Here is a 27,991-nt window from a genome sequence, read left to right on the forward strand (position 1 = left end):
CTGGAACAGGATAAGGATGCCCACTTTCATCACTCTTATTCAACGTAGTACTATTAATAGAAGTGCTAGCCAGAGCAGTCAGGCAAGAGAAAGAAATAAAAGACGTCCAAATTGGAAAAGAAGAAGTCAAACTGTCCCTCTTTGCAGAAGACATGATCTTATATTTAGAAATTCCTAAAGACTCTACCAAAAAACTCTTAGAACTGATGAATGACTTCAGTAAAGTTGTGGGGTAAAAAAAAATCAGCATACAAAAATCAGTAGCAATTCTATACACCAATAATGAACTCATGGAAGAAGAAACCAATAAAGCAATCCCATTTACAATTGTTATGTAGAAAATAAAATACCTAGGAATAAATTTAACCAAGGAGGTGAAAGACCTATACAAGGAAAACTACAAAACACTGATGAAAGAAATTGAAGAAGACACAAACAAATGAAAAAACATCCCATGCTCATGGATCGAAAGAATTAATATTGTTAAAATGACCATGCTACCTAAAGCAATCTAAAGATTCAATGCAATCTCTGTCAAAATACCAATGACATTCTTCACAGAAATAGAAAAAGCAATCTTAAAATTTGCGTGAAACCACGAAAGAGCCAAATAGCCAAAGCAACTCTGAGCAAAAAGAACAAAGCTGGAGGCACCATACTACCCGATTTCAAAATCTACTATAAAGCTACAATAACCAAAACAGCATGGTATTGGTTTAAAAAATAACAACAGACATAGACCAATGTAACAGAATAGACAGCCCAGAAATATATTCATGTATTTACAGGAAACAGACTCAACAAAGGCACCAAGAACATACACTGGGGAAAGGGCAGTGCTGGGAAAACTGGATATCTAAATGCAGAAGAATTAAACCATACCCCTGTCTCTCACCATATACAAAAATCACCTTAAAATGAATAGACTTGGCCGGGCGCAGTAGCTCACGCCTGTAATACCAGCACTTTGGGAGGCCAAGATGGGCGGATCACGAGGTCAGGAGATGGAGACCATCCTGGCTAATATGGTGAAACCCTGTCTCTACTAAAAATACAAAAAATTAGCTGGGTGTGGTGGCACACACCTATAGTCCCAGCTACTTGGGAGGCTGAGGCAGGAGAATCACTTGAACCCGGGAGGCAGAGGTTGCAGTGAGCTGAGATCATGCCACTGCACTCCAGCCTGGGCGACAGAGCGAGACTACAAGACTACATCTCAAAAAAAAAAAAAAATTAATAGACTTAAACATAAGACCTGCAACCATAAAAACACTAGAAGAAAACATAGGGGAAATGCTCCAGGACATTGGTGTAGGCAAACATTTTATAGCTAAGACTTCAAAAATACAGGCAACAACAACGAAAATAGACAAACGTGGCCAGGCATGGTGGCTCATGCCCGTAATCCCAGCACTTTGGGAGGCCAAGGCAGGCAGATCACTTGAGGGCAGGAGTTTCAGACCAGCCTGGCCAACGTGGTGAAACCCTGTCTCTACTAAAAATTCAAAAATTAGCCTAAAATACAAAAATTAGCCAGGCATGGTGTTTGGCATTTGTAGTCCCAGCTACTCAGGAGGCAGAGGTTGCAGTGAGCCGAGATCATGCCACTGCACTCCAGCATGGCTGACAGAGTGAGACTCCATCTCAAAAAAAAAAAAAAAAAAAAAAAAAGACGTGTGACTATATTAAATGTGACTATATTAAACTAAAAAGGTTCCGCACAGCAAAAGAAACTATCAACAGAATAAAGAGACAACTTGTTAAATGGGAGAAAGAATTTACAAACCACTCATCTGACAAGGAACACAACAGCAAAAAAAAGAAAAGCAAATAATTCCATTAAAAAGTTGGCAAAGGATCTGAATAGACATTTCTCAAAAGACAAATGGCCAAGAGGTATATGAAAAAATGTTCAACGTCACTAATCATCAGATAAATGCAAATCTGTGAGATATCATCTTATCCCAGTTAGAATGGCTATTATCAAAATGACAAAAAATAACAGATGCGGGTGAGGATAGAGAGAAATGGAACTCTTATGCATTGTTGGCAGGGATGTAAATTTGTATAGCCATTATGGAAAACAGTGTGGAGGTTTCTCAAACTAAAAAGAGAACTACCATATGATTCCGCAGTCCCACTACTGGGTATTTATCCAAAGAAAAATCAGTATATCAAAGGAACACCTGCACAATAGCCAAAATATAGAATCAACCTAAGCATCCATCAACAGATAAATGGATAAAGAAAATTTGGTGTAGCTGGGTGTGGCGGTTCATGCCTGTAATCCCAGCACTTTGGAAGGCCAAGGCAGGTAGATCCCCTGAGGTCAGGAGTTCAAAACCAGCCTTTCACATGGTGAAACCCCATCTCTACTAAAAATACAAAAAATTAGCCAGGCATGGTGATGGGCACCTGTAATCCCAGCTACTCAGGAGGCTGAAGCAGGAGAATCACCTGAACCTGGAAAATGGAGGTTGCAGTGAGCTGAGATCGTGCCATTGCACTCCAGCCTGGGCAACAAGAGTGAAACCCCATCTCAAAAAAAAAAAAAAAAGAAAAGAAAATTTGATGTATATACACATGGAATGCTATTTGCCCATAAGAAAGAATGAAATCCTTACATTTGGAGCAGTCTGGATGGAACTGGAGATCATTATGTTAAGTGAAACAAGGCAAGACCAGAAAGACAAATATTGCCTGTTCTCCCACATACGTGGGAGCTAAAAAAGTTGATCTCATGGAGGTAAAGAGTATAATGATAGTTACTAGAGGCTGGGAAGGATGAGTGGGGGGATGAAGAGAAGTTGGTTAATGGGTACAAACATACAGTTATGTAGAAGGAGTAAGTTTTAGTGTCAGTAGCACAGTGTGTGACTATAGCTAACAGCAAGGTATTGTATATTTCAAAAACAGGGAGATTTGAAATGTTTCCAACACAAATGATAAATGTTTGAGGTGATGAATATCCTAAATATGCTGATTTGACCATTGCACATTGTATTCATGTATCAAAATATCACATGTACCCCATATGTGTGTATAATTATTATGTATCAATTAAAATATATAGATTTTTAAAAAGATGGCTGCTGCAGCTCCACATATCACCTCCTTATTCCAGTCATGAAGAAGGAAGAAAGGGGAAAGGTGATAGCTGAGTTCATCTCAGGGCCCCCTCCCGTTCCCTGGGACTTCGGCCCCTGAGCTTGCAGCCGCCAATGCCGCCCCGTCTTTTTGGCAGTTGATCGCACTCTACTTCCCACTGCTTGGGATTTCTTCCTTCGATGCAAGCCTAGCTGCCTCCACTCATCAGGGGTCCCTTTTTACCTTGCAGGGCCACGTGGATGTTTTAAGCCATCCCGCCCACCACTGCTAAGGATTTGGTGCAGGAAAGGGAGGCTGAGGCCTGGGCTCAGTCTGCCATCTTGATCCAGTCTCCCTGGCTGCTTCATCTTTTCTAGAATTTCTCACATTCTACTGACCTCCCAGCTTGCCAGTGCCGCTAACGTCATTTCGGGGTGGTGGGGGAGAGGGGAGAGGGAACATGCGTGTTCACTTGGCCATCTGGAGCTGAAACTCTTGTTTAGTTCCTGCCAGGGAAGAGGAAGCAGCTCCGGGAGGTCCGGGAGAGCATTCGCTTCCTGCGCCAGGTGGGCAGGGACTGGGTCCAGCGCCGCCGGGAAGCCCTGAAGAGGGGCGAGGAGGTTCCTGCCGACATCCTCACACAGATTCTGAAAGGTGCAAGGGCCCCCTCTGCGGACTGGGGAGGGCGGGGTGGGCCAGGACGTTCCCCAGGTGATACATCGCCACTGACTCTGTTTGGCTTAAGAGGAGAAACACAGTTAGTTATTTTATGAGCCATGGGGAAAGGGAGCAAAGATTTGCTGGGAACTGAGACTCTCCTTGTTTTTCAGCTGAAGAGGGAGCCCAGGACGACGAGGGTCTGCTGGACAACTTCGTCACCTTCTTCATTGCTGGTTTGTAGCTTTGGCGGTGGCCAAGGGCCCGGAGCTCTGCAGAAATGCTGTGGACCATGGATCCCTCAAACCCAACTCTTTGGGATTTTTTGGGCTATCTGAGCAGAGCTCACCGCAGGGCTAGGGGGCTGGGCTGAAGGGAGCAGAAGCCCCATCTCCTAGCTGTCTTGGGGGCCTCTGACCTGGTAATGCAGCTGGCAATTGTGGGGATGTGTGAAGCTGGCCTGTCAGCTCCAGAGAGCTTGGCTGTGTGAATGCAGGCATCCCCTCACTCAGAATTTGTGGGGAGGCCTGCATTAGACTGGCACAAGAAGAGATGCTAAGCAGCTTCATTCATTTGCTCATCAGATATTTCCTGAACATGGTTCTTCACCTAGAAGACTCCTCTTCAGCCGTCAGTGAGCCCTCGCATGCCTCCTCCCCAGGGAAGCACAGGCTGCCTCAGGCACTCAGCTAGAAGCTGACCACAGGCCTGGGGCTCCTCCCCACCACCCATCTCATTGTGTTAAGCTGTTTATTTATTTGTGGTAATTGAGTGACGTCTGTTCCCCACCAGACTTGATGAGCGAAGGGTCAGGTTGTTTTGCTCACCTCTGTTCTCCTGGGGCCCAGTGTGGTAGGGAATCCCATGAACATTGAATGAAATACACGAACAAATGATTGACACTGGGCACTGGGAAGATGGAGGTGAACAAGATGAGGGACAGTTTCTAGCCTATTGGTGGAGGTGGAAAGACAGAGAGACAAATACTGATGGACGAAGAGGTCTGCAGGTGAAAGGCATGGAGGAAGGCCCTTTAGGTGGGAGAAGCACTTGCAGATGCCCCAGGAGATTAGAAGCGGCCAGTGTTAAAGCAAGGCTGCAGGGCGCCATTCCCTGCAATGGATAGAAAGGACTTGCGGAACCAATGGCTGGTCCTCATTCCTGCAGCTGGGAACCCAGGTCCTGGATGAGGCTTCTGGACAGACCTAGCCTCAGTCTCCTCATCTGTAAAATGGGGGCCTTGAGGAGCTCTCCAGGCTTCTATCCAGCCTTCCAGAGAGGGTTTATTAATCCCGTCTCGTCCCTCCAGTCTATCCCTGAGCCCTGCGTCCAGATGCTATGGGGGACTGGCCGAGGGCACGGTGGGTTGTGTCTGTCTTTCCCTTTGCCTGTGAGGAAACTGAGGCCGAGGAGGGAAGTGGCCTCCTATAGTCACAGCCCGCGATGCAGAGCTGGGGCCAGGGCTGCTGTGTTCTCCCACCCTGCTCCCAGGCTGAGGGCTCCGCTGGCTGTGTGAATGGCCCACCTCCACACCCTAGGAGCTGGGCCCTGCTTCCCAGCTCTGACTTGCTGTAAGTTATAGGCCCTTCTCCTGCATTCAAGCAGGCCCCTCAAGCCCCCTGGCTCCTTTAGAGTAAACTCACGTCTGTTCCCTCCCAGGCCAGCTTGGAGGGGTTGACTCTATCACCTTGGCCAGACCCTGCCAGAACTCAAAATCAGCCTCCCGAAATGTCCACCACCCCCTCATAGAACCTCAGGGTCATGGGGGGCTTTTGTGTGCACCCTGCATCCTGGGAAGGCGAGGCCTTGGGCTCACGGACTTTGAATTGTGTCCCCCCCACTCTCCCTGCTGTGTGACCACAGAGACCCATTCCTCTCCACCTCCACTTTCTCTTCTCCAAAATGGAGGTGAGCACCTCCCCGGGCCAAGTGAGACCTAGACGATGGTTCAAGGAAGGGGCTTTTAGAGCCAGATGCCTGGGGGCACATGCCATTTACATGCCAGCACTGGCTGGCATAGAGGCAGGCACAAACTGTCTCCTTCATCCTGTGGCCCCATGTGGAGCAACCACCGTCCTCCCTTCCCACAGGTCACGAGACCTCTGCCAACCACTTGGCGTTCACAGTGATGGAGCTGTCTCGCCAGCCAGAGATCGTGGCAAGGTATGGGGGCTGCTCTTGGGGCTGGCAAAGAGGTCTGTCTGATTTCTTGTTCCTGAGGGCCACCTGCCCCCACCTCCCATGGTTGAGTCCCCTCAACATGCCCTGCTTCCCCTGGGCCTTGGCACATGCTGTTCCCTCTCTTGGAAGCGCTCTCCCTGCTTTTCCCCTGGAGAACACACCTCCTCCTCCCACTCCTCTTCTAGAAAGGGCTTCTCAGATCCCTAAAGGAGCCACCCCACGTTTCCCCTCCGAGCCTGCTCCCGACTCATGAGTGTGTTTCCCTGGGATTGTTTCATGTCTATTTCAGCCATGAGACCAGAAGCTCCAGGAGGGCAGGGACCGTGGTTTTTTCCCTCCCCACAGCGTACCCAGTGCCTGGCCAGGGCCTGGCAGTGAGGATGGAGCAGAATCCCTGCTAAATTGCCAAGAGCGTGCTTGTCTTCTGATGGCAAGACAAAGGAGGGTGTCCCTGGGGAGGTGGTATTTGAGTCGGGCCATTGGTTTCCTTAAATACAAACAGGCTCCCTCTGGGACAGTTGCATGGAGTGGCTGAAGCAAGGGTCAAAGCTCTCTGAATGCACCAACAGGCTGGGTGGGAGCTCTGGGGAGGTGGGGTCAGGCCTTCAATTACAATTATTAGTCATCAGCAGCATATAAGGGCGGAAGTGAAAGATTGTGTGAAAATATACAATCTTTCTAGGGTTTAAAAATAAGTATAATTGTAATAAGCATTTCGTATAAAAATTTTGGGAAAAGCAGAAAAGCTATAATAATAATAATAAACCCACCCATGGCACCCCACCCACCCAGCGGCACTTCGCTGTTAACTGCTGAGTATCTGTTCAGCACCTTCTCACCTACGCATGAGCAGCTTTGCCGTGTTTTTTGTCACCTGGTTGCACAGCTGGCTTTTATTCCCCATGAGCCTTATCACAGCATTGCCTACCTCATTGTAACCTCCTCCCAAATCCACTCTTTAAAAAATTGTGGTAAAATATACATAACATAAAATTTTACATTTTCATTGTTTTTAAGCCCACAGTTTAGTGGCATTAAGGGCATTCACATTGTGAATGTCATCCCCCTCCACTATTTTTATTTTTACTTTTTTGAGACAGAGTCTTGCTCTGTTGCCCAGGCTGGAGTGCAGTCTCAGCTCACTGCAACCTCCGCCTCCCCAGTTCAAACAGTTCTCCTGCCTCAGCCTCCAGAGTAGCTGGGATTACAGGTGTGCACCACCACACCTGGCTAATTTTTTTTTTTTTGTGTATTTTTAGTAGAGACGGGGTTTTGCCATGTTGGCCAGGCTGGTCTCAAACTCCTGGCCTGAAGTGATCCACCCATCTTGGCATCACAAAGTGCTGGGATTACAGGTGTGAGCCACTGCTCCTGGCCTCCGTCTCCAGACCTTTTTCATCTTCCCAAACTGAAAATCTGTCCGTTCTCGCCTCCCCATCCCTGGTAACCACCATTCCACTTCTGTCTCTGTGTGTTTGTCTATTCTAGGTGACTTATGTAAGTGGACTCATACAGTATTTGTCTTTTTTGTGACTGGCTTGTTTCACTCGAATAATGTCCTCCAAGTTCATCCATGTTGCAGTATGTGTCAGAACTCCCTTCCTTTTTTTTCTTTTCTTTTTTTTTTTTTTTTTTAAGACAGAGTCTCACTCTGTCGCCCAGGCTGCAGTGCAGTGGCACAATCTCAGCTCACTGCAAGCTCCACCTCCCGGGTTCACGCCATTCTTCTGCCTCAGCCTCCCAAGTAGCTGGGACTATAGGTGCACGCCACCATGCCTGGCTAATTTTTTTTGTATTTTTAGTAGAGACGGGGCTTCACGGGTTAGCCAGGATGGTCTTGATCTCCTGACCTCATGATCCACCCGCCTCGGCCTCCCAAAGTGCTGGGATTACAGGCATGAGCCACCGTGCCCGGCAGAACTCCCTTCCTTTTTAAGACTTACTAATGTTCCATTGTAAGCATCGGTCCCATTTTGCATATTCATATATCTGTCCATGGGTACCTGGGTTGCTCCTACCGTTTGTCTATTTTGAATAATGCTGCTATGAGGATGGGTACACAAATATCTTTTTAAGTCCCTGCTTTCAGTTGTTTTGGGTTTATACTCAGAAGTGGGATTGCTGGATCATATGGTGATTCTATTTTTAATTTTTTGAAGAATCACCATACCGTTTTCCATAACGGCTGAACCATTTTACATTCCCACCAGCAGTGCGCAAGGGTTCTTTCTGATTTGTCCACATCCTCTACAATACTTTTGTGTTTATTGGGATGAGAACCATCCTAATGAGTATGAAGTGGTCCAGATCCACTCTTTTTTTTTTTTTTTTTTGAGACGGAGTCTCGCTCTGTTGCTAGGCTGGAGTGCAGTGGCTCTACCTCTGCTCACTGCAAACTCCACCTCCCAGATTCATGTGATTCTCATGCCTCAGCCTCCCAAGTAGCTGGGATTACAGGCACCCACCACCACTCCCGGCGAATTTTTGTACTTTTAGTAGAGACAGGGTTTCACCATGTTGGCCATGCTGGTTTCCTACAGCCAATCCCAAACATCAGACACAAAGGGTGGATGTTTTAGGGCCCCTGCAACATAGTTCCCAGTGGTTTGGGCACTGTTTTGGATGTGGCCATCGCTGGATCTCTTTAACAGTCTTTGGGCTGGGCACAGTGGCTCATGCCTGTAATCCCAGCACTTTGGGAAGCTGAGGCGGGCAGATCACCTGGGGGTCAGGAGTTCAAGACCAGCCTGGCCAACATGGTGAAACCCTGTCTCTACTAAAAATACAAAAATTAGCTGAGCGTGCTGGTGGGTGCCTGTAATCCCAGCTACTTGGGAGGCTGAGGCGGGAGAATTGCTTGAATCCTGGGGGGAGGGCGGAGGTTGCAGTGAGCCGAGATCACACCACTGCACTCCAGCCTGGGCGACAGAGCAAGACTTTGTCTCAAAAAATAAAGCTACAAGTAACAGTGTTTGTGAGTGGGGAGCCCCATGCGTCTCTCTTCACGCTTCCTTCCAGTGCCCCCTTCTTAAAGCTAAGTAAGTCGGGGACAGGCTCCCTTTGGAGACGAACTTGTCTTTGTCTTACCCCACAGGCTGCAGGCCGAGGTGGATGAGGTCATTGGTTCTAAGAGGTACCTGGATTTCGAGGACCTGGGGAGACTGCAGTACCTGTCCCAGGTGTGGGAAGTAGGAGGGAAGCTTCTGGGCGGATGTGGGTGATCATGTCATCATGCCTGCTTCCTCCCTGGACCTTTCAGGACAGTGGTTCTCAAACTTTGCTGCATAGGGTCCTCCCCCGGAAGATTTAAAGTATCCTGAGGCCCAGGCTGCCCCAGACTAATGACATCAGAGTCAAAGAGCTCCCCAGGTCACCCCAGTATTCAACTTAGGTTGGAAACTGGCCCTTTAGTAAATGGTGCCGTATTTGTGCTTCCCGGCTAGGCTGGGGTTCCAGATCCTTAAGCTTCCCCTGGTGGAGTCAGGCTCAGCAGCGCCTCTCCATGCTGCCGCCGCACAGCAGGAGGGCTTGCAGCTTCTGCTGTGGCTCTCTGGAATGGTGGGACCCCTGATTCCTGGTCCCAGCTCTGCCATTGTGGCCTTGCACACTCCCTTCTCCTTCTGGACCTCAGTTTCTCCATCTGTCACGTGACGGTGAGGCTGATGTCCCAGGGGCCTGGGACCCAGGCCAGGGTGAGGGTATGCACTCAGCCTGTGGGTGGGAAAGACAGGGGTCCCAGGCATGCCGCCGGCCGGCATGATCTGTGGCCTCTCCCGACTCTCCTTGTTATCTCCCCTTGTGGCTTCTCTAGGTCCTCAAAGAGTCGCTGAGGCTGTACCCACCAGCATGGGGCACCTTTCGCCTGCTGGAAGAGGAGACCTTGATTGATGGGGTCAGAGTCCCCGGCAACACCCCGCTCTTGGTGGGTGGAGGCCCTGGGGGTCCTGGGGTGGGCTGGGCTGCTTGCCCCAATGGTGGTGAATTTGGGACTCACCAGGGGAGCCTGTGGCCCTGTTCCCATCATTGCAACGGGCCTCACTGGCTGCCCTGGTCTTTCTCATGGAGTCTCACCATAGCCCTGTGAGGGCTTTTTCCCCTCCTCACACTGTCCAGCAGAAGATTACAGGGGGTCATTCTGGAAGGGAGGTGCCCCATTTACAGCTGAGGACACTGAGGTTCAGAGAGGTTAGGTCACTTTCCTGGGGTCACACAGCTGGTGAAAAGCAGATATGGAAATTGCCCAGTTTCACAGTTGACCCAAACTTGTCCTGGTTCCTTCTCTCCTCACGTTTTACAGCCCTTTCTCTCTCGGCTTTCTCCCCAGACCTCCTTTATTTTGTGTCTCTTTGTTTGCTTACTTGTTCATTTATCCATTCATCCAGGCATTTACTCATGTATGATAGCCCCTAAACCCACCCCCAAACCAGGAAACTAGGATATAGTCACTCCCTGCTCCGCTGACAAGGAATCACTAATCTGAATTGTGTGTTTGCCATTCCCGTGTGTGTGTGTGTGTGTGTGTGTGTGTGTGTGTGCCTGTGTGCATTCACGCAGTAATATATTGTAGGACTTGTTTTTTGACTCAGTATAAAGTTGGTAAGATTTGTGTAGGTTTCTCCACAAGGCCGTAGGACAACCACCATCGCTGATCAGTTCTCAGGTGACAGGCATTTGAGAGGTGTCCAGTTTGTCCCTATCTCGAGCACCACAGCAACGATGCCATTTCTGTCCGCATGTCCAGGAACAGTGTGCAAGCCAGCTCCTCGGACATTTACCCAGAAGTGAGAGGGCTGGGTTGTAGGACCCCTGACTGTTCAGCTTTACAAACGAACGCCACATTGTTTTCCAAAGTGGCTGCACCAACTTGGATGCCCAGTAGTGGTGAGAGAGAGCACCTGCTGTTCTTCATCATCTCCAGCACTTAGCATGGTCCGATTTTGTATCTGCTGCCATCCAAATATGTGTTTTTAAAAAAGTATTTCACTGTGGTCTTGATTTATGCTTTCCTGATTACTAACTAGTAAGCGTGAGCATCTGACCCTGCTTTCTCTGTCTCTGAGATGTGGGCTCAGTTTCCCTTTTGGGGTAGTGTGTTTTTTCGTATTGCTATGTAGAGCGTTATTTTATTTTATTATTTTTTACGGCATACATTTATTTACTATTATTTTCATTATTTTGTTTTTAAATAGAGTCTTGCTCTGTCCCCCGGGCTGGAGTGCAGTGGCGCCATCTCGGCTCACTGCAACCTCTGCCTCCCGGGTTCAAGCGATTCTCGTGCCTCGGCCTCCCGAGTAGCTGGGACTACAGGTGCACACCCCCACGCCTGGCTAATTTTTGTATTTTTAGTAGAGATGGGGTTTCACCAGGTTGGCCAGGCTATTCTCAAACTCCTGACCTCAAGTGATCCACCTGCCTCGGCCTCCCAAATTGCTGGGATTACAGGCGTGAGCCAGCGCGCCCAGCCCTAGAGCTTTCTTTTAAAAACTCACGTGTTAATCTTTTGTCTGGTATGTTTGTCATCTTTGTGGCTTGTCTTCATTAATGTGTTTTTGATGATCTGCATGTCTTAATATTTTTAACAATTACTTCTTTTGCTTTGTCTTGTTTAAGAAATCCTTCTCTATCCTGAGTTCAGGACATTCACTTACTTTGTCCTCAGTTTTACATTTTTCTTTTCAAAGTTGAGCTTGTAACTACCTGGAATTGATTTTGTGTGTAGTTTCAAGGTAGGGACCTTTCTGTATTGACTTGCCAGGGCTGTTGTAACAAAGTGCCACAGACTTTGGCTTAAACAACAGAAATTTATTTTCTCCCAGTCCTGGAGGCTGGAAGTCTGAGATCAAGGTGTTGGAGGTTGGTTTCTTCTGAGGGCTCACTCCTTGGTGTGCAGACAGCCACCTTCTCCCTGTGTCTCCACATGGTCTTCCTTCTGTGTGTCTGTGTCCTAATCTCCTCTTATAAGGACACCAATCAGGTTGGATTAGGGCCCATCCTAAGTACCTCATTTTAAGTTAATTACCTCGTTAAAGACCTTGTCTCCAAACACAGCCGCATTCTGAGGTACTGGGGATTAGGACTCCAACATATGAGGATTTGTGGGGGGCAAAATTCAGCCCATGACAGGATCCTTTTTATTTTTACCTGTGAGGAAGGAGGAGCCCCAGTCCCTGCTCCCAGCCCCTCTCCTCCCAGGGTTCTGCCCTGCCTCCTCCAGCATCCATCCAAGCCTCATCTGTGGCCACTCTGCCATCTGTTTTGCCAAGCTTTCTTTTTTAATGCTCCTGTACCAATACCACTGTGCCTTAACAGCCATCTCCTTAGATCCCCTTACAGCCAGCAGGGGAAGCCCTGTGGCTCACTCTCAGCCTGGGGGTGCCACCCTGTGGGCTTTGAGTGGGCAGACTGGGCTCCAACCCCACCTCTGCTCCTGGCTGGCTGGGTCATCTCCATCAGGCCTTCGGCTTCCTCTTTGTTAGGTGGGGGGAGTGGTGAGCATCAGTAGGATGACGTACATCATGTGTCTGGCAACAATCCCCGGCACATCTTAGGTGCCCTAAACCCAGCCCCCACACCGGATGTTCCCACACACTTGCTGGAGCTCAGCTCCAGGGCTCCCTGCACCCTCTGCTGCACTGACCCCCAGCACAGAGAGCCAGGGGTGGAACAGGCTTAGGAGGAGATTTTGTCCCAGTGTTTGGAGGCCAAGGACACAGAGTGAGCGTCAGCCCCACTCAGGAGGCACCACACGTGCACGTGGAAGGCTGGTGGGGTCTGCAGTTCCTCCACTCCCACCCCTGCTGAAGTAGGCCTTGAGTTGAAGAGAAACTGAATATAACAGTTCTCGGGATCTAGAGGAAGTTGGCCTCACAGAGTCAGATCTGAGTTTGAATCCCGGTTTGGCCATTTATTTGCCTGGTGACTTCAGGTGAGTCACTGAGCCTCTCTCTGGGTCTCAGTTTCCTCATCTGTAAAATGGGGACAATGACGGCTCCCCTACAGGGCTGAGCCCAGCACAGGATGACGCAGTACGCCCAGCTGGCACAGTCAACTGTCCCCGCTCTTCCTCTTAAGGGATTTTCTAGGGGGCCAGTGCAATGGACACCAACCTAGATGAGGGGTGAAGACATGGGGGGAGGAGAGTGGGACCCACTCTGCTCTGAGTAGCCCTGTTGGGTGGCCTCAGTGGCTCAAGAGGTGCCAGGGGAACAACCTGGGAACCAGAGATGAGCGGACCCTTTGCCCGCAGTTCAGCACCTATGTCATGGGGCGGATGGACACATACTTTGAGGACCCGCTGACTTTCAACCCCGATCGCTTCGGCCCTGGAGCACCCAAGTAAGTCCCTCCTGGAGCTGCCCATGAGTGGGGCTGGCGGGAGAAGGACAGACACAGCGGCCTCTGGTCTGAGCCAGAGGCACCCACTCAGCCCACATAGCCTTCCAGATCCCTGTGAGGTGGTTGTGGAGGAAATCACAGCTCAGAGAGGTTAAGTAACTTGCCCAAGTGGCAGAGCAGGGGTCTGGCCCCAGCTCAGTCTGGTTCTAAAGCTCATGCTCATAAGCAGCACCAAATACTGGGAAGCTGGGTGACTTCACCTCCCCAAGCCTTGAGGTTCCTGTCTGAGAAATGGGACCATCCGTGGCTGCATCTGCAAGTTGCTGTGGGGGTCAACGCGTTAAGGTACCGAAGCCATGGTGGGAAGAGCTGGACTCCACAGCCTGCCTGAGTGTTCAGATCCAGGCTCTGCCCAGAGCTGGATGTAAATTTATGACCTGGAGTGAGTTGTTTTGCCCCTCTGAGCCTCAGTTTCTCCATCTGTGAAATGGGGACAACAGCAGTTCCTTCCAGGAGGGTAAAAGGAGGAGAAAAAGAATGCAGATCCAGCCCTCGGCAGAGTCAGCGGTTCATGCTTTGCATGCAAAGTGCCCAGCCCCTGGCTCAAAGTCTGTGTTCATCCAGACCTGGGTTAACTACTGTCTTCCTTATGTTGTTCCTGTGGGGACGCCTGGGGCTGCTGGCCTCGTGATTCCTCTCTTTCCCTGCAGGCCACGGTTCACCTACTTCCCCTTCTCCCTGGGCCACCGCTCCTGCATCGGGCAGCAGTTTGCTCAGGTAGGAGGGGCAGGGCTGTGGTTCTGCCCAGGAGTAGCTGCAGGGGTGGGGGCTCATCCTGAGCCGGGAAGCATCTCCGAACCCCTGCTCTGGGGCTGCTGGGCTGTGGGCTCGGGACCCAGCGGAGCCAGACCCAGAGGACTGGCTGTGTTTTGCACGGAGGAGAGCGCAAAACAGGAGGCTCCCCAGGCTCTCACAGGCTCTCCAGGAGGAGAGCCGGCTGTGACATTTGCTGCTCATTCACTCACTCATTCTGTCTTTGCTCCTTCATTCCTTCCTCATTTTGCCCGCTGGGCCCAGATGGAGGTGAAGGTGGTCATGGCAAAGCTGCTGCAGAGGCTGGAGTTCCGGCTGGTGCCCGGGCAGCGCTTCGGGCTGCAGGAGCAGGCCACACTCAAGCCACTGGACCCCGTGCTGTGCACCCTGCGGCCCCGCGGCTGGCAGCCCGCACCCCCACCACCCCCCTGCTGAGGGGGCCTCCAGGCAGGACGAGACTCCTCGGGCAAGGGCCGTGCCCGCCCACCTCTGCTGCCCACGGCCACCCACCCTTCTCCCCTGCCCCGTCCCCTGGGCCACCCTTCACGCTGGCTTCCAGCGGGCCCTCTGCCGACCGCCTGCTTCACACCCCTCAGCGCTCCCTGTCGCCTGCGGACTCCATGGCCCTTCCTGGACTGGCCCTTGCCCAACTCCCAGCCACCACCACTGTCCCTACCACTGAGCCCTTGCACAGGCCACTTGCTCAGACGAGACACCCTAACTCTTGCTCACTCCCTAAAGCCCTCTTCAGGGGTCACCTCCTCCAAGAAGCCCTCCTTGCCACCCCCCGCCGGCAGGGGCCCCTCCTCTGTGCTCCCTCGGTCACCTGTGCTACCTCTAACACCACACTGACCACACTGTATCGTGAGTGTCCGTTGACGTGACCAATTGCCCTGCCAGGCTGTCAGCGCCTCAAGGGTAGGGTCTGCGTGTGATTTGTCTCTGAGCCCCCTGTGCCCACCCAGGGCCCGGCACAGAGTCGATGCTCAATAAATGTGTGTTGACTGCATGAATGACCTGGAACCAGGCCATGCGCTCTCGCCTCAGCTTGCTCGTCTGTGAAAAGGGGGAGATGCGGAGGCTGGCACAGCTTTGGAAGCCACCAGCCCGCAGATGCCCCGCAGATGCCCTGACAACGCTGCCTTGGGAGAGACTGCCCCAGGTTACCAGCCTGTTCCCTGTGCTGTATTCACGGCCATGCCCCTGGGTGTTGTGTGAGGTTGGGCCTGGGTGGGTGACTGGCTCTGAGAGCTGGATTTGAGAGGTCAGAGAGGCCCCTGGGCCTCTCTTGGGAGCAGCTTGGTGGAGCTGAGCCCCGTGCCTGTGGGCACCTGCTGCCCTCCTGACCTGGCAGGGGGGCAGGGCAGGTGAGACTGCATCCCTCGTGGTGGTGATGGGAGAAGCCGTCCCTTCCTCTCCAGGGCCGTGTCCTCTGAGCTCATCCAAGGAAGAGGTCCTGCCCTGAGTTTCTCCTTCGGCCATTGGGAGCTTGTCTTTGTGCAGAGAGAAAAAGCGCCCTCATGGCCCGGTGCGGTGGCTCACGCCTGTAATTCCATCACTTTGGGAGGCCAAGGTGGGAGGATCACCCGAGGTCAGGAGTTCAAGACCAGCCTGGCCAACATGGCGAAACCCTGTCCCTACTTAAAAATACAAAAATTAGCCGGGCATGATGGTTGGGTGCCTGTAATTCCAGTTACTTGGAGTCTGAAGCAGGAGAATCGCTTGAACCGGGGAGGCAGAGGTTGCAGTGAGCCCAGATCGCACCACTGCACTCCAGCCTGGGCGACAGTGAGACTCCGTCTAAAAAAAAAAAAAGAAAAAGCTGCCCTCTCCCCTGCCTGGGCCATGTGCCCCCTGGGAAGACCCCCTCCCCAAACAGGGAAGGCACAGATGTGTGCCGGCCCGTGATGTGCATTGTTGGCCTCCTTCGGTCCTTGCCGCAGTCTTGAATGATAGCTCCAAGGGATGGTCCCATCAAGCAGATAAGGAAACTGAGACTCAGGGGCGGGAGTGACATGCTCAGTACAGGTGGGGCCTGGTGTGGCTCTGAGAATGGAGGAGACAAGTGTCTGGGTTCCCAGCCTGCCCCTCTCCCCAGCCCAGGTGGGCCCTGAGAATGCACACCCCGGCCTCTGGGCAGAGGGTCGGGCCCCGGGATGCCTCGAGAACTGCAGCGTTCTTGCAGAGCGAGGGTCCTCCTGCTCCCCTAGCACCTCGCCTGACCACGTGGGCACCTGGCCAGCCCATCATCAAGCTGCACCCTCCACCCTCTCCATTTCCAGCTCGCTGTCTGAGGGGCCCCCAAACTCACCACTCACTTTGAGAATGGTATGCCCGGGCTCAGCCTCCAGCCACCTGGTCAAACTCATCCCTGGCCAGAAGCAGCCCCTTCCCACAGCCACCCCAAATGCTGCTGTCTCCCAGCGTCCTGTTCCCAAGCCCCCAGCTGGGCACTGTTCCCCGACCTGCTCTGCTGTGCCCCCCACTCCGCCCTCTGCAGCCCTTCTCTGAGTCTCTGAGGTTCACCAGTACCCACACACCTGCCCACGCTTCCCACAGTCCATGCCCTCTGCCTCCTGCTGTGGCTGGGCCTAGTCCCCACAGTACAGCACCTCCTTCACAGTCCATCTAAAAGGGCCACAGGCCACCAAGCCTCAGTACTGCAGCAATGCAACCCAGCATTGTCTGGAGGGGCCTGGAGGGATCGGCTCCCTCCAGAGACTTCAAGTTCCCGGCTTGACCATCCCCTGATTTGGCAAATATCTGTCTGTTGCTGAGCCTGAGCCTTCACACCATGATTTCTTCAAATCCTGCCAGGAAACAGGAGCCAACTATGCCCCATTTCACAGATGGGGAAGTCCAGGCCAGAGCCACAGCTGGGCCATAGTGGAGTCAGCACTTGAACCCATGGCCCTTTGCATCCAGTGGCCTTCCACAGGCTCAGCATGCCCTATCCCTGCAGGCCTGGGCTTGTCTTCTGCACGCCCCAGGAATCCCAGATGGCTGGGAAGTGCAGAGCCAGAACCCCCCAGCCCCACTGTCACTGCCGGTGGGGCCATCCTGCCCTTCCTTTCTGAGCCACTTCCTCTTCCATAGACTGGGCTTTCTGTGAGGGGCAGGTGGCTCTCAGTCCATGCTGCATGGGGAAGCCACCTGGGCCAGGTGAATCAGCCTCTGGGGTGGGGCCCAGAAACTCTTCTTTTTCTTTTTTCTTTTTTGAGATGTAGTTTTACTCTTGTTGCCCAGGCTGGAGTGCAGTGGCACAATCTCTGCTCACTGCAACCTCCGCCTCCTGGGTTCCTCAGCCTCTGGAGTAGCTGGGATTACAGGCATGTGCCATGACGCCCAGCTAATTTTTGTATTTAATATATTTTTTTAGTAGAGACGGGGTTTTACCATGTTGGCCAGGCTGGTCTCGAACTCCTGACCTCAGATGATCCACCCTCCTAGGCCTCCCAAAGTGTTGGGATTACAGGCGTGAGCCACCGCGCCTGGCCCAACTGTTTTCTTTTTAAGTCTCCCAGTAGATCCCAATGTGCATGGGCCGGTGCCGCCAGTCCAGGTGAAGCTGACCCCCGGGACCCAGGCAAGATGGATAGGATTAAACCCAAGGCTGTGCAGCAAGGCTACCTGGGGTCAAATCCTGCCCCCACCTGCCTGGGCCTCAGTTTCCCCATCTGTAAGGGAGGACAAATAATAGGACCCACTTCCTAGGGTTGGAGGGGAATTAGTGTCCACACGAGGGTCGGGCTCTGGCACTGTGAGTCTGGTCATTGTCACCTGCAGGGAAGGGAGGGCTTTTCTGCAGGCAAGGCGGCGCAGTCCCCGGAAGACCCGCACGGTGGCGCGCTGGCGCAGAGCTCGGGCTCGCCCTCCCGCCCAGGCCGAGCGGGCGGCGCCGGCCCCAGGCGCGGAGGGTCCCGAGGCGCGGAGTGGGTGGGCCGAGGGGACGCCAGCCCCGCTCCCGGAAGCGGGGTCAGCGGGGAGGCCGGGGGTCGGCAGTGGCAAGCTCTGGCCACGGCGTAGGGGTGGGATAGCCACCCCCATTTCACAGATGGGGCTCCCGAGGCGCGGTGAGGTCTGGCAGCTGCTGGGGGCGCAGGCACGGCCCCCCGGGCGGGTGTAGCGGTCGCTTGGCGGGTGGGTCCGCAGGCCTCGCCGGGAGCCGGGCCTGGGTCTGGGGCGCTGGCAGGCCGGCCGGGAGGCGCGCCGGGCGGGAACGCGCAGCTCTGGCGGGAAGTGCGTGGGGTCGGGGGGCTCGGGCGGGGTGCAGGCTGCTGCTGCCACCGGGGAGGCCCGGGGGATGCCCTCACTAAGCGGCTCCAGAGACTGCGGGCCCCGCCCTGCCCTGCCACTCCCTCTCTTGTGACCTCGGCCAGTGGCAGCCTTTTCTGAGCCTGTCCCCTTCTCTGTAAACCTGGACGTGTTTGATCTACGCTCGCGTCCCGGCAGGAGGCTTCCAGCCTGCACATTCCTGGGGGCCCGCCTTCCCCAGGCACTAGCTTACCCAGGGCTGAGCTGCTGAACTCTGAAAACCTTTGGAAACCTCCCTGCCCTCTGCCCTAGCGACCTGCGGCTGGAGACCCTGAGCTGGCCCAGCCCTCTAGGGTGCCTAGGAGCCTAGGCTGGGTTGGGGGTGGCTTCAGGAACCTTGGGCTGCCGGGTGTGGGGTGAGAGCCTTGGCCCAGCTATGGCCAGGTGGGAGGTTTTCTTCCTCTGTGCTCTGGGTGCTGGGGCTGGAGGCGGTGGCTCTGCTGGGCTTCAGTGACAGCCAATGTGGGTAGACAGAGGACCATGCCCTGTGTCCCAGCAATTAGCTGCCCACCTGGGAAGGTTCTGGATGGGACTTGGCAGAAGCCTGAGCCGGCCCCTCCTGGCAGTCCTGGCTGAGCGGGCACCGAGCGCCTTATGCTGGTCCAGTCAGTTGGAGTGACTAAATTCACATCTGCCCAGACCTCACCCTGGGCTCCGGACCTCACCCCGGGCTCCAGCCTCACCCCGGGCTCCAGCCTCAGGCATCTCTGGATGTCCAAAAATAACCCCCACCCCCACCCGCACCCTCCCCGGCAGTCACTGGGGGTATTTCTGGCAGACGGAAGGGGACTCACAGTGGGAGGGAGGGTCATTTCTCTGAATCCAGGGCCAGGGGTGGGGAGGGACAGAGTCAAGGCCCTGCCTTGGCTTGGAGCTTTAAAAACACTCATTTCTTCTGGAACGCAGCCTCTCCCCAGTAAATCCTTCTCACCAGAGAAAACCATAGTCACCTACCTGGTGCTCACTTCTTGGGCAGCCCCTGCGGGGACCAGACCCCGGGTGGCCAGGCAGAGGGGTCCCCCCCACCCTGCGGGAGGCAGCCTGCTAATTCTGGGTGCCAAGGGTAAGGCTGCAGGTCCCTGTGCAGGACACCTGCTAGCTGCATCCCGTTTGGAGCCTGCCCTGGATGGGGCTCCATGGGCCCAGGGCGAGGCCAGGCAGAGACCGGCATGAGCAGCAGCCCGCACAGGAGCACCCTGGGCCCAGGGCAAGAGCCCATCGGCCAGTGGCAGACACTGGGTGAGGATCCCCGATGATTCGAGTCACACTGTGCTGGCCATGAGCGTCAACTGTTGGGCGCGCTGTACGGCCAACCCTGAGCCAGCTTTCCTGTACCTCCAGGCCCCTGTGCTACAGACGAGGCTCCGAGAGGTGGCGGCCTGCCCCATCTCAGGGCCAGAGGGCAGAGGGTGCGGTGGGCTGTCCCTGGGGCCCTTGCCCCTGCTGTTGAGCCCAGGAGCCTGAACCTGGGAGGCCTCCCCATCACCTCCCTGCCCCCTCCCAAATGACAGTGGCTCCTTGGCCGCCACCCCAGAGGTGAGGGGATAGCCCAAGGAAGCCAGGAGCTGCCCACACCCTCAGCCCAGGAACACCCGGTGCAGCTGCATGCGCCTCGCGGGCTTCTTTCCTGGCTGGGAGCCTGGACGCTGGGAGGGTTGCCCAAGGCCACCCAGGCAGCGGTCAGTCAGGGGTGCCTGGGCTGGACAGGGGGCCCTGGGTGTTTGGAACCAGCTCGCAGAGCTTTGCTGGAGCAGGTGCACGTGTGTGCGTGCATGTGAGCCCCACGTGCAGATGTGTGTCTCTGCGTGTCTCTCCGTACCTCTTCGTGTTCCTGTTCCCTTGTCTCCGGGTATCTGTCTGGCCCCCAGTGTGTGAGGCTGTGCGGATGAGTCTCCACATCCGTGTGTGTCTCATGCTCTGTGTGGAGCTGGTGTGTCAGGCCTGACCTGGACTACAAGGAGGTGTCTCTTTGAACCCAAGGCAGTGGACAAACATCAGACGCGTCGCCGTGGGCTGGGCCCCTGCCGTGTGGCATGCGTTCTGTCCTCACCCCACGTCCAGCGAGATGGGCTAACCTGCCCAAGGCCACACAGCCAGGAGCTTGGGGCCATCCAGTGTGGACATCCATTGTCCTTCAAGTCGTGGCCACCAAGGCCCCACGTGAGGCTCCCTGCTCCTCACCTGTCCTGGCTCTGTGTACAGGGGGAACCCAAGTCTGAGGGGTCTCCAGCAGGGAGAGGCTGCACTCCTGAGGCCCAGCCAGGGCCGGGTGAGTGCGGGGCAGCAGGTGTCAGCGGTGGGGGAGGTACGGGTGGGAAGCGGGGCCTCTTCCCTGACCCCCGCCACACTTGGCTGCCCCTCCACCTTTGATCACTGACCCTCCTCTGTCCCTCCAGGGACACTTTCCCGCCAGTGCTGGTGCTGGCTGGCCAAACAGTGTGGGAACCCAGGGACTGGCCTTCCTCCAGGCGGTGGCAGCCGGGGAGGGGCCTGGGCACACCGTGGGTGAGCAGTCACTGCAGAGCCTCCCCTGGGAAGTGGCATGATGCTGTGGTGTCTCAGGGAACCCAGGAAGGGCACTGGCTCTGGGCTGGGCCCCACAGGCATCAGTATATGTGTGCCCCTCCCTTTGCCCCATGCCCTTCCAATGACCCCAACTCCTGCCCGACCAGATTTCACACCACTGTCTGGCCATCTCGAACCATTCCTGGGTGCCCGAGCTCTTTCCCACCGCTAGGCCCATCTTATCCTATCCATCCCCATCCCCATTCCTCACTTCCCAGGTCTCTGTGTGGATGACTCTCAGAGGTCCTCGCTGACCACCTGCCCTTCCTTCCTGACCTCAGTTCCTTCACCAGCGCCCTCCACCCACAAGCCTGTGGGCCCTGAGAGGCTGCCCCCAGAGCTTGTTCAGGCCCCTGCAGCACCTGCCCCATCATGGTGACCGTGGAGTAGCTATTGAGACCAGCCAAATCACACATAGGTGAGCCCTCGGGGGCCAGCGGGCACACAAACTGTTGCAGCTTCAGGGTGAGCTGCAGGAGGCGCATCATGCACACACACACCCGACACGCAGACACACTCCCGCACGTGGACATCACAAGCTCCCATGGGCACACACACCCACACATTCTCACATGCACACGCACTCCCCCACACATGTGCCCGCTGCCATGCACCCGTGCACACACGTGCATCATCACACACGTTCACTTACACATCCTTGCATGCACACACTCTCCCACACGTGCCCACTGCACCTGTGTACGTGTCCCAGTGGACACACAGGCATCACACACACATCCACTTACACACATTCTTGCACATGTGCAGTGGCCTCAGGAGCAGGGGACTCTAGTTGTTTATCCCCAACACACGTTCCCATGATAAAGAAAACAGGAAGGGACTTGGAGCCAGACACAGGAAGGGGAAGTGGCCGGCCACAGGGAACCAGCTCCAGCCAGTGGACACTGGGCGGTCTGCTTGGGTGAGACACAGGGGCAGCCAGACAGATGGCCGCAGGGTGGGGAGCTGGAATGCCCCTCCGTGGCATCTTGCCCTGGTTTAATCTTCACCACAGCCCCAGTGGGCATCACCCCTTCTAGGCAAGAAACCGAGGCTGGGGCCAGGCTTGTGCCCGTCACCCAGGAGGGCTGCTGGAGCTGGGATTTGACCTGGGTTCACCTGACACCAGGCTCCTCCCAGCCCTGGTCCCGCAGCCCACTTGGGTGAAGGTGAGGCCTCTGTCGGGGAGGCGGGTGGTGTGGCGGGGCTCTTTTCTGCAGTGCCAGTTTGTCCAGCACCAAGATGCATCCCACACCTGTAGAACCCCGGGTTGGACTCTGGCAGTCTCATAGGGGTTCCTGGGGGGTCAGCACTGGCCCCCTCTGTCCCACAGCGTGCCCCTCCATCAGCCCAGCCCATCCCATCCCATCCCAGGGAGCCCAGAGCAAGGGTGACAGGAGTTGAGACCCGAGATGTGGCCACAGGCCCTGCCTGGCATTGACCCATGGGCCTGGGTGTGCCAGACAGCAGGCACTGAGAGGGGCCACAGTGTGTGAAGCCCATACAGCGGGGTGGGACCTAGGAGACAGGTCAGCCCCCAGTCCATGCCTCCCATTCCCTCCAGTGCCTGACACCAGCTGCCGCGCCAAGGCAAAGCAGAGGTGCCCAGCGAGGGACTCACGCCAGTCCTTCCCTGGTCACACCCCCTCCCCGGGGATACAGATGCCACCTGTGCATACCCGAAGTCTGCCAAGTGCCGCAGAGCTACCTCAGTTCAGCCCACAGCCGGGCAGGCGGGGCTCCTCCCACTTTGCAGGGGAAGACACTGGGCTTCTGTCTTTGCTGACCTGCACCCGATTTTCTCCCTGCCGCGCCCTCACCCCAGCCCAAGGCACAGAGCACCGTGGTTCCACCTCCGCCCCTCCCCCAGAGTTGTCCTGGAATCACACCTAGGGGATGCGGAGGGACGAGGGGAATTTTCGGGGTGGAGGAGACAGTTCCAGGGGAGGTCTGGCTTTGTCTTTCTCTTTTTTCTCTTAAAATTAAATTTTCAGTTAGGAGGAAAGAAAACTTCAGTTAGGAGGGACCCAAGATGGCCACCAGTCCTGGTTTGTCTGAAGCTGGTGGGGGGTCAGTTTCCAGGATCCATGGAGGACATTCAGGGCTAAAACAGGGGAAGTCCCAGGGAAACGGGACAAGTTGGTCACCTGGGAGGGACCCCACAGCCATTTAACCCTACATGATGCTTGAGCTCCCTCCGCTGTGTCCCCGCCCAGCAGCTGCGCAGCCCTGCTTGAATACCATCAGTGATGGTGAGTTCATTATCTGACAGGGCAGCAAGAGCCAACCAAGAGGGGGACACAGCCAGGACTAGGCACTGACCACAGTGAGGTCGGAGTTGGCAGAGTGGAGTGTGGGGCAAGGGAAAATGGAGCAGGGCCCCTGAGCTGCCTTTAGGGGCAGCCACAGCTTCCCACGGAAAGAGGAGGACAGAGAATTCCTAGGCCAAGGGAACAGCACAGGCAAATGCCTATACCATAGAGATTGAGTTCTTTCTCTCCGATGGCCAGTGCAGGGGTGAAGCGTGGAGGCTGTGACTTCACAGCCTTCTTCCCCACCCCACCCACAGATAGGGCTTCCTTTGGAAACATGGAGGCCTCGTCCTCCTGCCTTCACTCCCCAGGTCCCTGAGCCAGAAAAGGCCTCAGTGCAGATGGAAGAGCTGCCAGGATGCCCCAGCACGCTGCTCCACCCGCCTCTCATTTTCCTGAGGCTCATTAGTCCTCAGCACCAGCATCTGCCCCCTCCTCCAGGAAGCCTCCTCTGACTTCCCCAGCCCTGAGGCCTCCCCTGCCATAAGCATCATCCTTCTTCTCAGGCTTGCTGCCACCTCCAGCCCTGCCAGCGACCCCTGCCACCTCTAGCCCTGCCAGAGACCCCTGTAACTCTTCAGCCGGGCTTTCTCACCTCCACACCTGCTGGCTTCTCTTCCTAGAACACCCTCTATTCCCTTCAAAAAACTTTCTGGGCTGGGTGCGGTGGCTCATGCCTGTAATCCCAGCACTTTGGGAGGCCGAGGCACTTGGGGATCACTTGAGGTCAGGAGTTCAAGATCAGCTTGGCCAAACGTGGTGAAACCTTGTCTCTACTAAAAGTACAAAAATTAGCCGGGCATGGTGGCAGGTGCCTGTAATCCTAGCAACTCAGGAGGCTGAGGCAGGAGAATTGCTTGAACCTGGGAAGCGGAGGTTGCAGTGAGCCGAGATGGCGCCACTTGTACTCCAGCTGGGCAACAGCAAGACTCCATCTAAAAAAAAAAAAAAAAAAAAAAAAAAAAAAAACTTTCTGGGCTGAGCACAGTGGCTCATGCCTGTAATCCCAGCACTTTGGGAGGCCGAAGCACAAGGATTGCTTGAGCTCGGAGTTCAAGACCACCCAGAGCAACACGGTGAGACCCCCCCCCCGCCTACAAAAAATAGCTAAGTGTGGCAGCACAGACCTGTGTTCTCAGCTAGGGAGACTGAGGCGGGAGAATCACCTGAGCCCAGGAGGTTGAGGCTGCCGTGAGCTGTGATCATACCACTGCACCCCAGAGTGACCCTGTGGCAAAAAAAAAAAAAAAAAGAAAGAAAGAACTAACTTTATTTTCACTTAAAGATAATTCAAATGCCTGCTCTTCCAGGAAGCCCTCCTGGATCTCTCAGATTGAGTTTCTCTCCCTTCTCTTTAAGCCATTTCATTCCCTCTGGTCTCTGCATACAGAACTAGGTAGACCTAGGGCCTGGGGGGCCCAGCAAAGCCCAACCCTGGGGTGATGCCTCTGGGATCTCCAGCCCTTGGCTGGTCCTGCCCTGCACTTTGTGGGGACCAGGGGAGGGGCTGGATTGGCTCTGAGCCAGGTACACAAGAGCATACTAAGAGCTTGCTGGAGTGCATTCTTTCAACCAGTTTTTCCTGAGCACCCACACTCTGCCAGGACCACATGACTGCCCCTGGGGATCCTGTCTCCATCCCCTGTCGACCCCCAACACGTGGCACACTCAGCACACAGTAGATGCCCGAAGTGCTGGCTGCTTTTGGCCAAACAATCAAAGGCAAGGGACGGCCTTCCTGCAGCCTTGGAGACAGACAGCCTGGCTCCAGATCCTGCTCACGCCCCGTACTGACCCGGTGGCTTGGGTGGGTCCCTTAACCTCTCTGTGACATGGACATGATGGTCGCAGCAGCTCTGGAGAGCAGTGAGATGACAGGGGTGGCCACACTTCACATAACTGCTGGTCCCGGGCATGTACTCAGTGGTAGCATCACTTGTTATTCTCCTTCCCTAAATGTCCGTAAACGTCCCTTGCTGGCTGGGTGGAACCGTTCCCAAGGAAAGAGTGTACAGGCATTCCCAAGTCCCCAGGAGCTGGAGTCTTGGGGACTGACCAAGCACCTAAGGGTGCAGTGGCTTCTCAAGCAACATCCTGGGGCTGCCCCAGAGAGGCCCTGGGCGGGGGAGGGCAGTGCCCAGATTTATCCACCAATCGCACAGGCTGCTGGCACTGAGCACGTTCTTATCTGCCCAGCCCAGCATGGGGGGGTGGCCAGGCCGGCCGGGGCGGGACGCTGCCTGGGGCTGGACGCGGAGGAGCCCCAAGCCCTGCTGGGTGGGTGACAGCCGCTGAGGCTCTGAGTGACCCTGCAGGCTGGTGGCCAGCCGGCCGCCCATCTTCCACACCATGTCGGACGGCGAGGGCCCCTCCGCCGGTGAGTGGCAGCGCTATATTTACCCGCTGTGGCTCCGGTTGCAGAGCCAAGGCCGCCAGTCGCCGAGGGCACTGGGGCCCCCGCAGGCTGCAGGCAGCTGTGAGCTGGACCCCCTTCCTCCTTGCCCGACGCCTGGGGGGCCTGTGCCGCTGGAAGGGGGGAGCTTGACTTTCAAAGCTGGGTTCCGCCACACCCCCTGACTGCCCAGTGTAGCCAGTGCAGGAAGCTGTGCCTGATTCAAGCTCTCCTGGGGCTGGCAGCCGGGGCCAGAGCTGACCCAGGACAGAGGGGCAGGGGCTGCGACGGGACCCATGGGTGGGCTCAGGATGCCGTGGGCCACTGGAACCGCATGCAGACGAGTGTGTGTGAACACTTAACGGCGGGGGAGAGCACACAGCTTCCGTCTGATTCCCCAAGTCTGAGACCTCTGGGCGTTCTGAGTCCCTGGTCCGGCAGCACCAGGCAGGCCCTCTGTGTGCCCTCATATCCTCTAGGTTGAAAATGGCCAGCGACACAGGCAGGCAGAAGGGCGATCAGATTCTGGGGTCTGCCCACTGCCCTTTGCTCTGCCTGAGGCCAGAGGCTGTGGTGGGGACTGGCCACCTATGTGCCTGGCTGGCTGCCCCCGGCTCCTGCCAGTTACAGAGCCAGCCTTGGCGGAATGGGGGCTGGGGACGGCCAAATCCAGGGGGACTCTGGAGTCAGGCTGTCCAGGTTCAAATTCCAGTTATTTCACCTCCAGGCTGGGTGGTCTTGGGCAGGTAGCTTAACTTCTCTGAGCCTCCGTGTCCCCAGGTAAAAATGGAGACTGTGGTCCTAACCCCCCAATGGCTGTGAAAATTAAATTTATGATATTGTGTGAAAGCGCCTGTGGGTGCCTGGGGTGCACTGAGTGCTCAGGGCCCTGCGTGCTGGCAGCAGGTGGGCACCCTGGGCAGCAGATGGGCATCCCAGGCAGCCCAGGCAGCCAGGTCTGGCCTCCTCCAGCAGGGCCTCCTTCGTAAGCCACCGATTGTCGCTGGCACGTGGATTCCTTCTCCATAAAACCCCACCTCGGAGGCTCTCGGAACTCATCAGGGTCTCCTGGGGGGTGTGGGGCAGATCGTGGGTGACAGCACCCTGCAGATACCCTGTTACTAATGAACAGTGCCAGCGCCTTGGCCTGGCTGGGTAGGATTTGGAACAGAGCAAGTGAGAGTGTGAGAGTGTGTGTGTGTGTGTGTGTGTGTGTGAGAGAGAGAGACAGAGAGAGAGAGAGAGTGTGTGTGTGTGTGTGTGTGTGTGTGTGTGTGTGTTGGGGAGGGGTACATTGACAGAAGGGGCCTGACCTCACCCTCTTCCACTGGGTGCCAGTTGTCCTGGCTGCCAGAAATTGCCCGCCGGGGCTGCGGGAGCCCCGGGAGCCAGCAGACAGCTCTTTCTGGCTGGCCCTGCCCCACACCTGACGCTAACCCGGAATAGCTCTCCCTCTCCACCAGGGACATGGCCCTGGTTTTAGCAGTTTGTAAAGCCACCCGCATGGAGATGGGTATTTCAGGAAGGCCAGGACAATATTTAGCCCGTCGGAGCAAAGGAATGGGCACTGAGCATGCACGTGTGTGCGCAGCCTGGAGGCTGGGAGGTGACGTGGGCCTCACCATCCCTTCCCCATCTAGGAGAGGGTCAGCCCAGTTGGGTTGGGAGGTGGGGCTTGGATTCCAGGCTGGCTCTGTCTGCCCTGGTGGGCAGGTGGCCCTGGGCAGGCTCCAGGCTTGGTTTTCCCATCTATAGAATGCCACGTGACGGTCTTTTGTCTCTAATATGTGGGTTTGAAGTTGAACTTGGCTGGCAGGAGTAAAGGCGGCATCTTGGTGCAGGAAGGTATATTTACTTATGGGTAGAAGGGGGTCTTCTGGAGCACACAGTGTGAAGTTCAGGCCTTTCTAGGATTCCTGCCCGGCAGCAACCAGTGGTTGCTCCAAGGACACTGCTCTGAAATATTTTCACCTGTTTTCAGTAACCGATCCCCAAGCCGTGTCGGCAGTGGGAACATTCTCAGCTCTCCACTCGTGACTGGTGTGACCTAGGGCAGACTATTCAAGGGCACTGTGCCTCAGTTTCCCCATCCATTAGGTGGGGACAATACTGGGACATTAACTCCTCAACGTGCACTAAGGATTAAATGGCTAACAGCATGTAACACACCTAAAATAACGCCAGGCTTATTGTTAGTGGTTATAGCTCTTATTATTTCACCAATACATAAGCAACCTAGAGAGGGAGATGAGGGGAGCAGAGGACCCACTGTGTCCTGGACACACTGTTTTGTTTATTACCTGGAGGTGGGGGCTATCAGCTCCACCGTGTAACT

At 55.1% G+C, this 27,991-nt stretch overlaps 2 protein-coding genes across 8 annotated transcripts in view, besides 4 other annotated features; both read left to right on the forward strand.

Annotated features, from left to right (window-relative positions):
- The window catches only part of CYP46A1 (cytochrome P450 family 46 subfamily A member 1), a 43,004-nt gene extending 27,922 nt beyond the window's left edge, over nucleotides 1-15,082 (forward strand). For 4 of the 5 annotated variants that reach the window (XM_017020933.3, NM_006668.2, XM_005267274.6 and 1 more), the window contains 8 exons: nucleotides 3,591-3,741; nucleotides 3,918-3,980; nucleotides 5,835-5,907; nucleotides 9,020-9,104; nucleotides 9,737-9,847; nucleotides 13,172-13,260; nucleotides 13,971-14,037; nucleotides 14,338-15,082. In XM_017020933.3, coding sequence (XP_016876422.1) covers nucleotides 3,591-3,741; nucleotides 3,918-3,980; nucleotides 5,835-5,907; nucleotides 9,020-9,104; nucleotides 9,737-9,847; nucleotides 13,172-13,260; nucleotides 13,971-14,037; nucleotides 14,338-14,508 — 810 coding nt within the window. In that variant the 3' untranslated portion in view covers nucleotides 14,509-15,082. The remainder of the gene's footprint in view (nucleotides 1-3,590; nucleotides 3,742-3,917; nucleotides 3,981-5,834; nucleotides 5,908-9,019; nucleotides 9,105-9,736; nucleotides 9,848-13,171; nucleotides 13,261-13,970; nucleotides 14,038-14,337) is intronic. The other variant, XM_011536364.2, reaches the window with a different exon arrangement.
- Nucleotides 17,902-18,021: a silencer, noted in NCBI's record as "silent region_6069". NCBI's record gives its function as "represses an Ori minimal core promoter by ATAC-STARR-seq in GM12878 lymphoblastoid cells {active_cell/tissue: GM12878}" and the evidence as "EXISTENCE:reporter gene assay evidence [ECO:0000049][PMID:35858748]".
- Nucleotides 19,343-20,202: an enhancer, noted in NCBI's record as "H3K27ac-H3K4me1 hESC enhancer chr14:100197899-100198758 (GRCh37/hg19 assembly coordinates)". NCBI's record gives its function as "activates a minimal SCP1, AML or CMV promoter by ChIP-STARR-seq in naive H9 embryonic stem cells {active_cell/tissue: H9 hESC(naive)}" and the evidence as "EXISTENCE:reporter gene assay evidence [ECO:0000049][PMID:30033119]".
- Nucleotides 25,311-26,121: an enhancer, noted in NCBI's record as "H3K4me1 hESC enhancer chr14:100203867-100204677 (GRCh37/hg19 assembly coordinates)". NCBI's record gives its function as "activates a minimal SCP1, AML or CMV promoter by ChIP-STARR-seq in naive H9 embryonic stem cells {active_cell/tissue: H9 hESC(naive)}" and the evidence as "EXISTENCE:reporter gene assay evidence [ECO:0000049][PMID:30033119]".
- The window catches only part of EML1 (EMAP like 1), a 204,339-nt gene continuing 201,850 nt past the window's right edge, over nucleotides 25,503-27,991 (forward strand). For all 3 annotated transcript variants that reach the window (XM_005267398.3, NM_001375411.1, NM_001440377.1), the window contains exon 1: nucleotides 25,503-25,641. In XM_005267398.3, the coding sequence (XP_005267455.1) occupies nucleotides 25,614-25,641 (28 nt within the window). In that variant the 5' untranslated portion in view covers nucleotides 25,503-25,613. The remainder of the gene's footprint in view (nucleotides 25,642-27,991) is intronic.
- Nucleotides 26,933-27,743: an enhancer, noted in NCBI's record as "H3K4me1 hESC enhancer chr14:100205489-100206299 (GRCh37/hg19 assembly coordinates)". NCBI's record gives its function as "activates a minimal SCP1, AML or CMV promoter by ChIP-STARR-seq in naive H9 embryonic stem cells {active_cell/tissue: H9 hESC(naive)}" and the evidence as "EXISTENCE:reporter gene assay evidence [ECO:0000049][PMID:30033119]".

Source organism: Homo sapiens, chromosome 14 (assembly GCF_000001405.40).
Source record: "Homo sapiens chromosome 14, GRCh38.p14 Primary Assembly".
NCBI classification, from domain to species: Eukaryota; Metazoa; Chordata; class Mammalia; order Primates; family Hominidae; genus Homo; species Homo sapiens.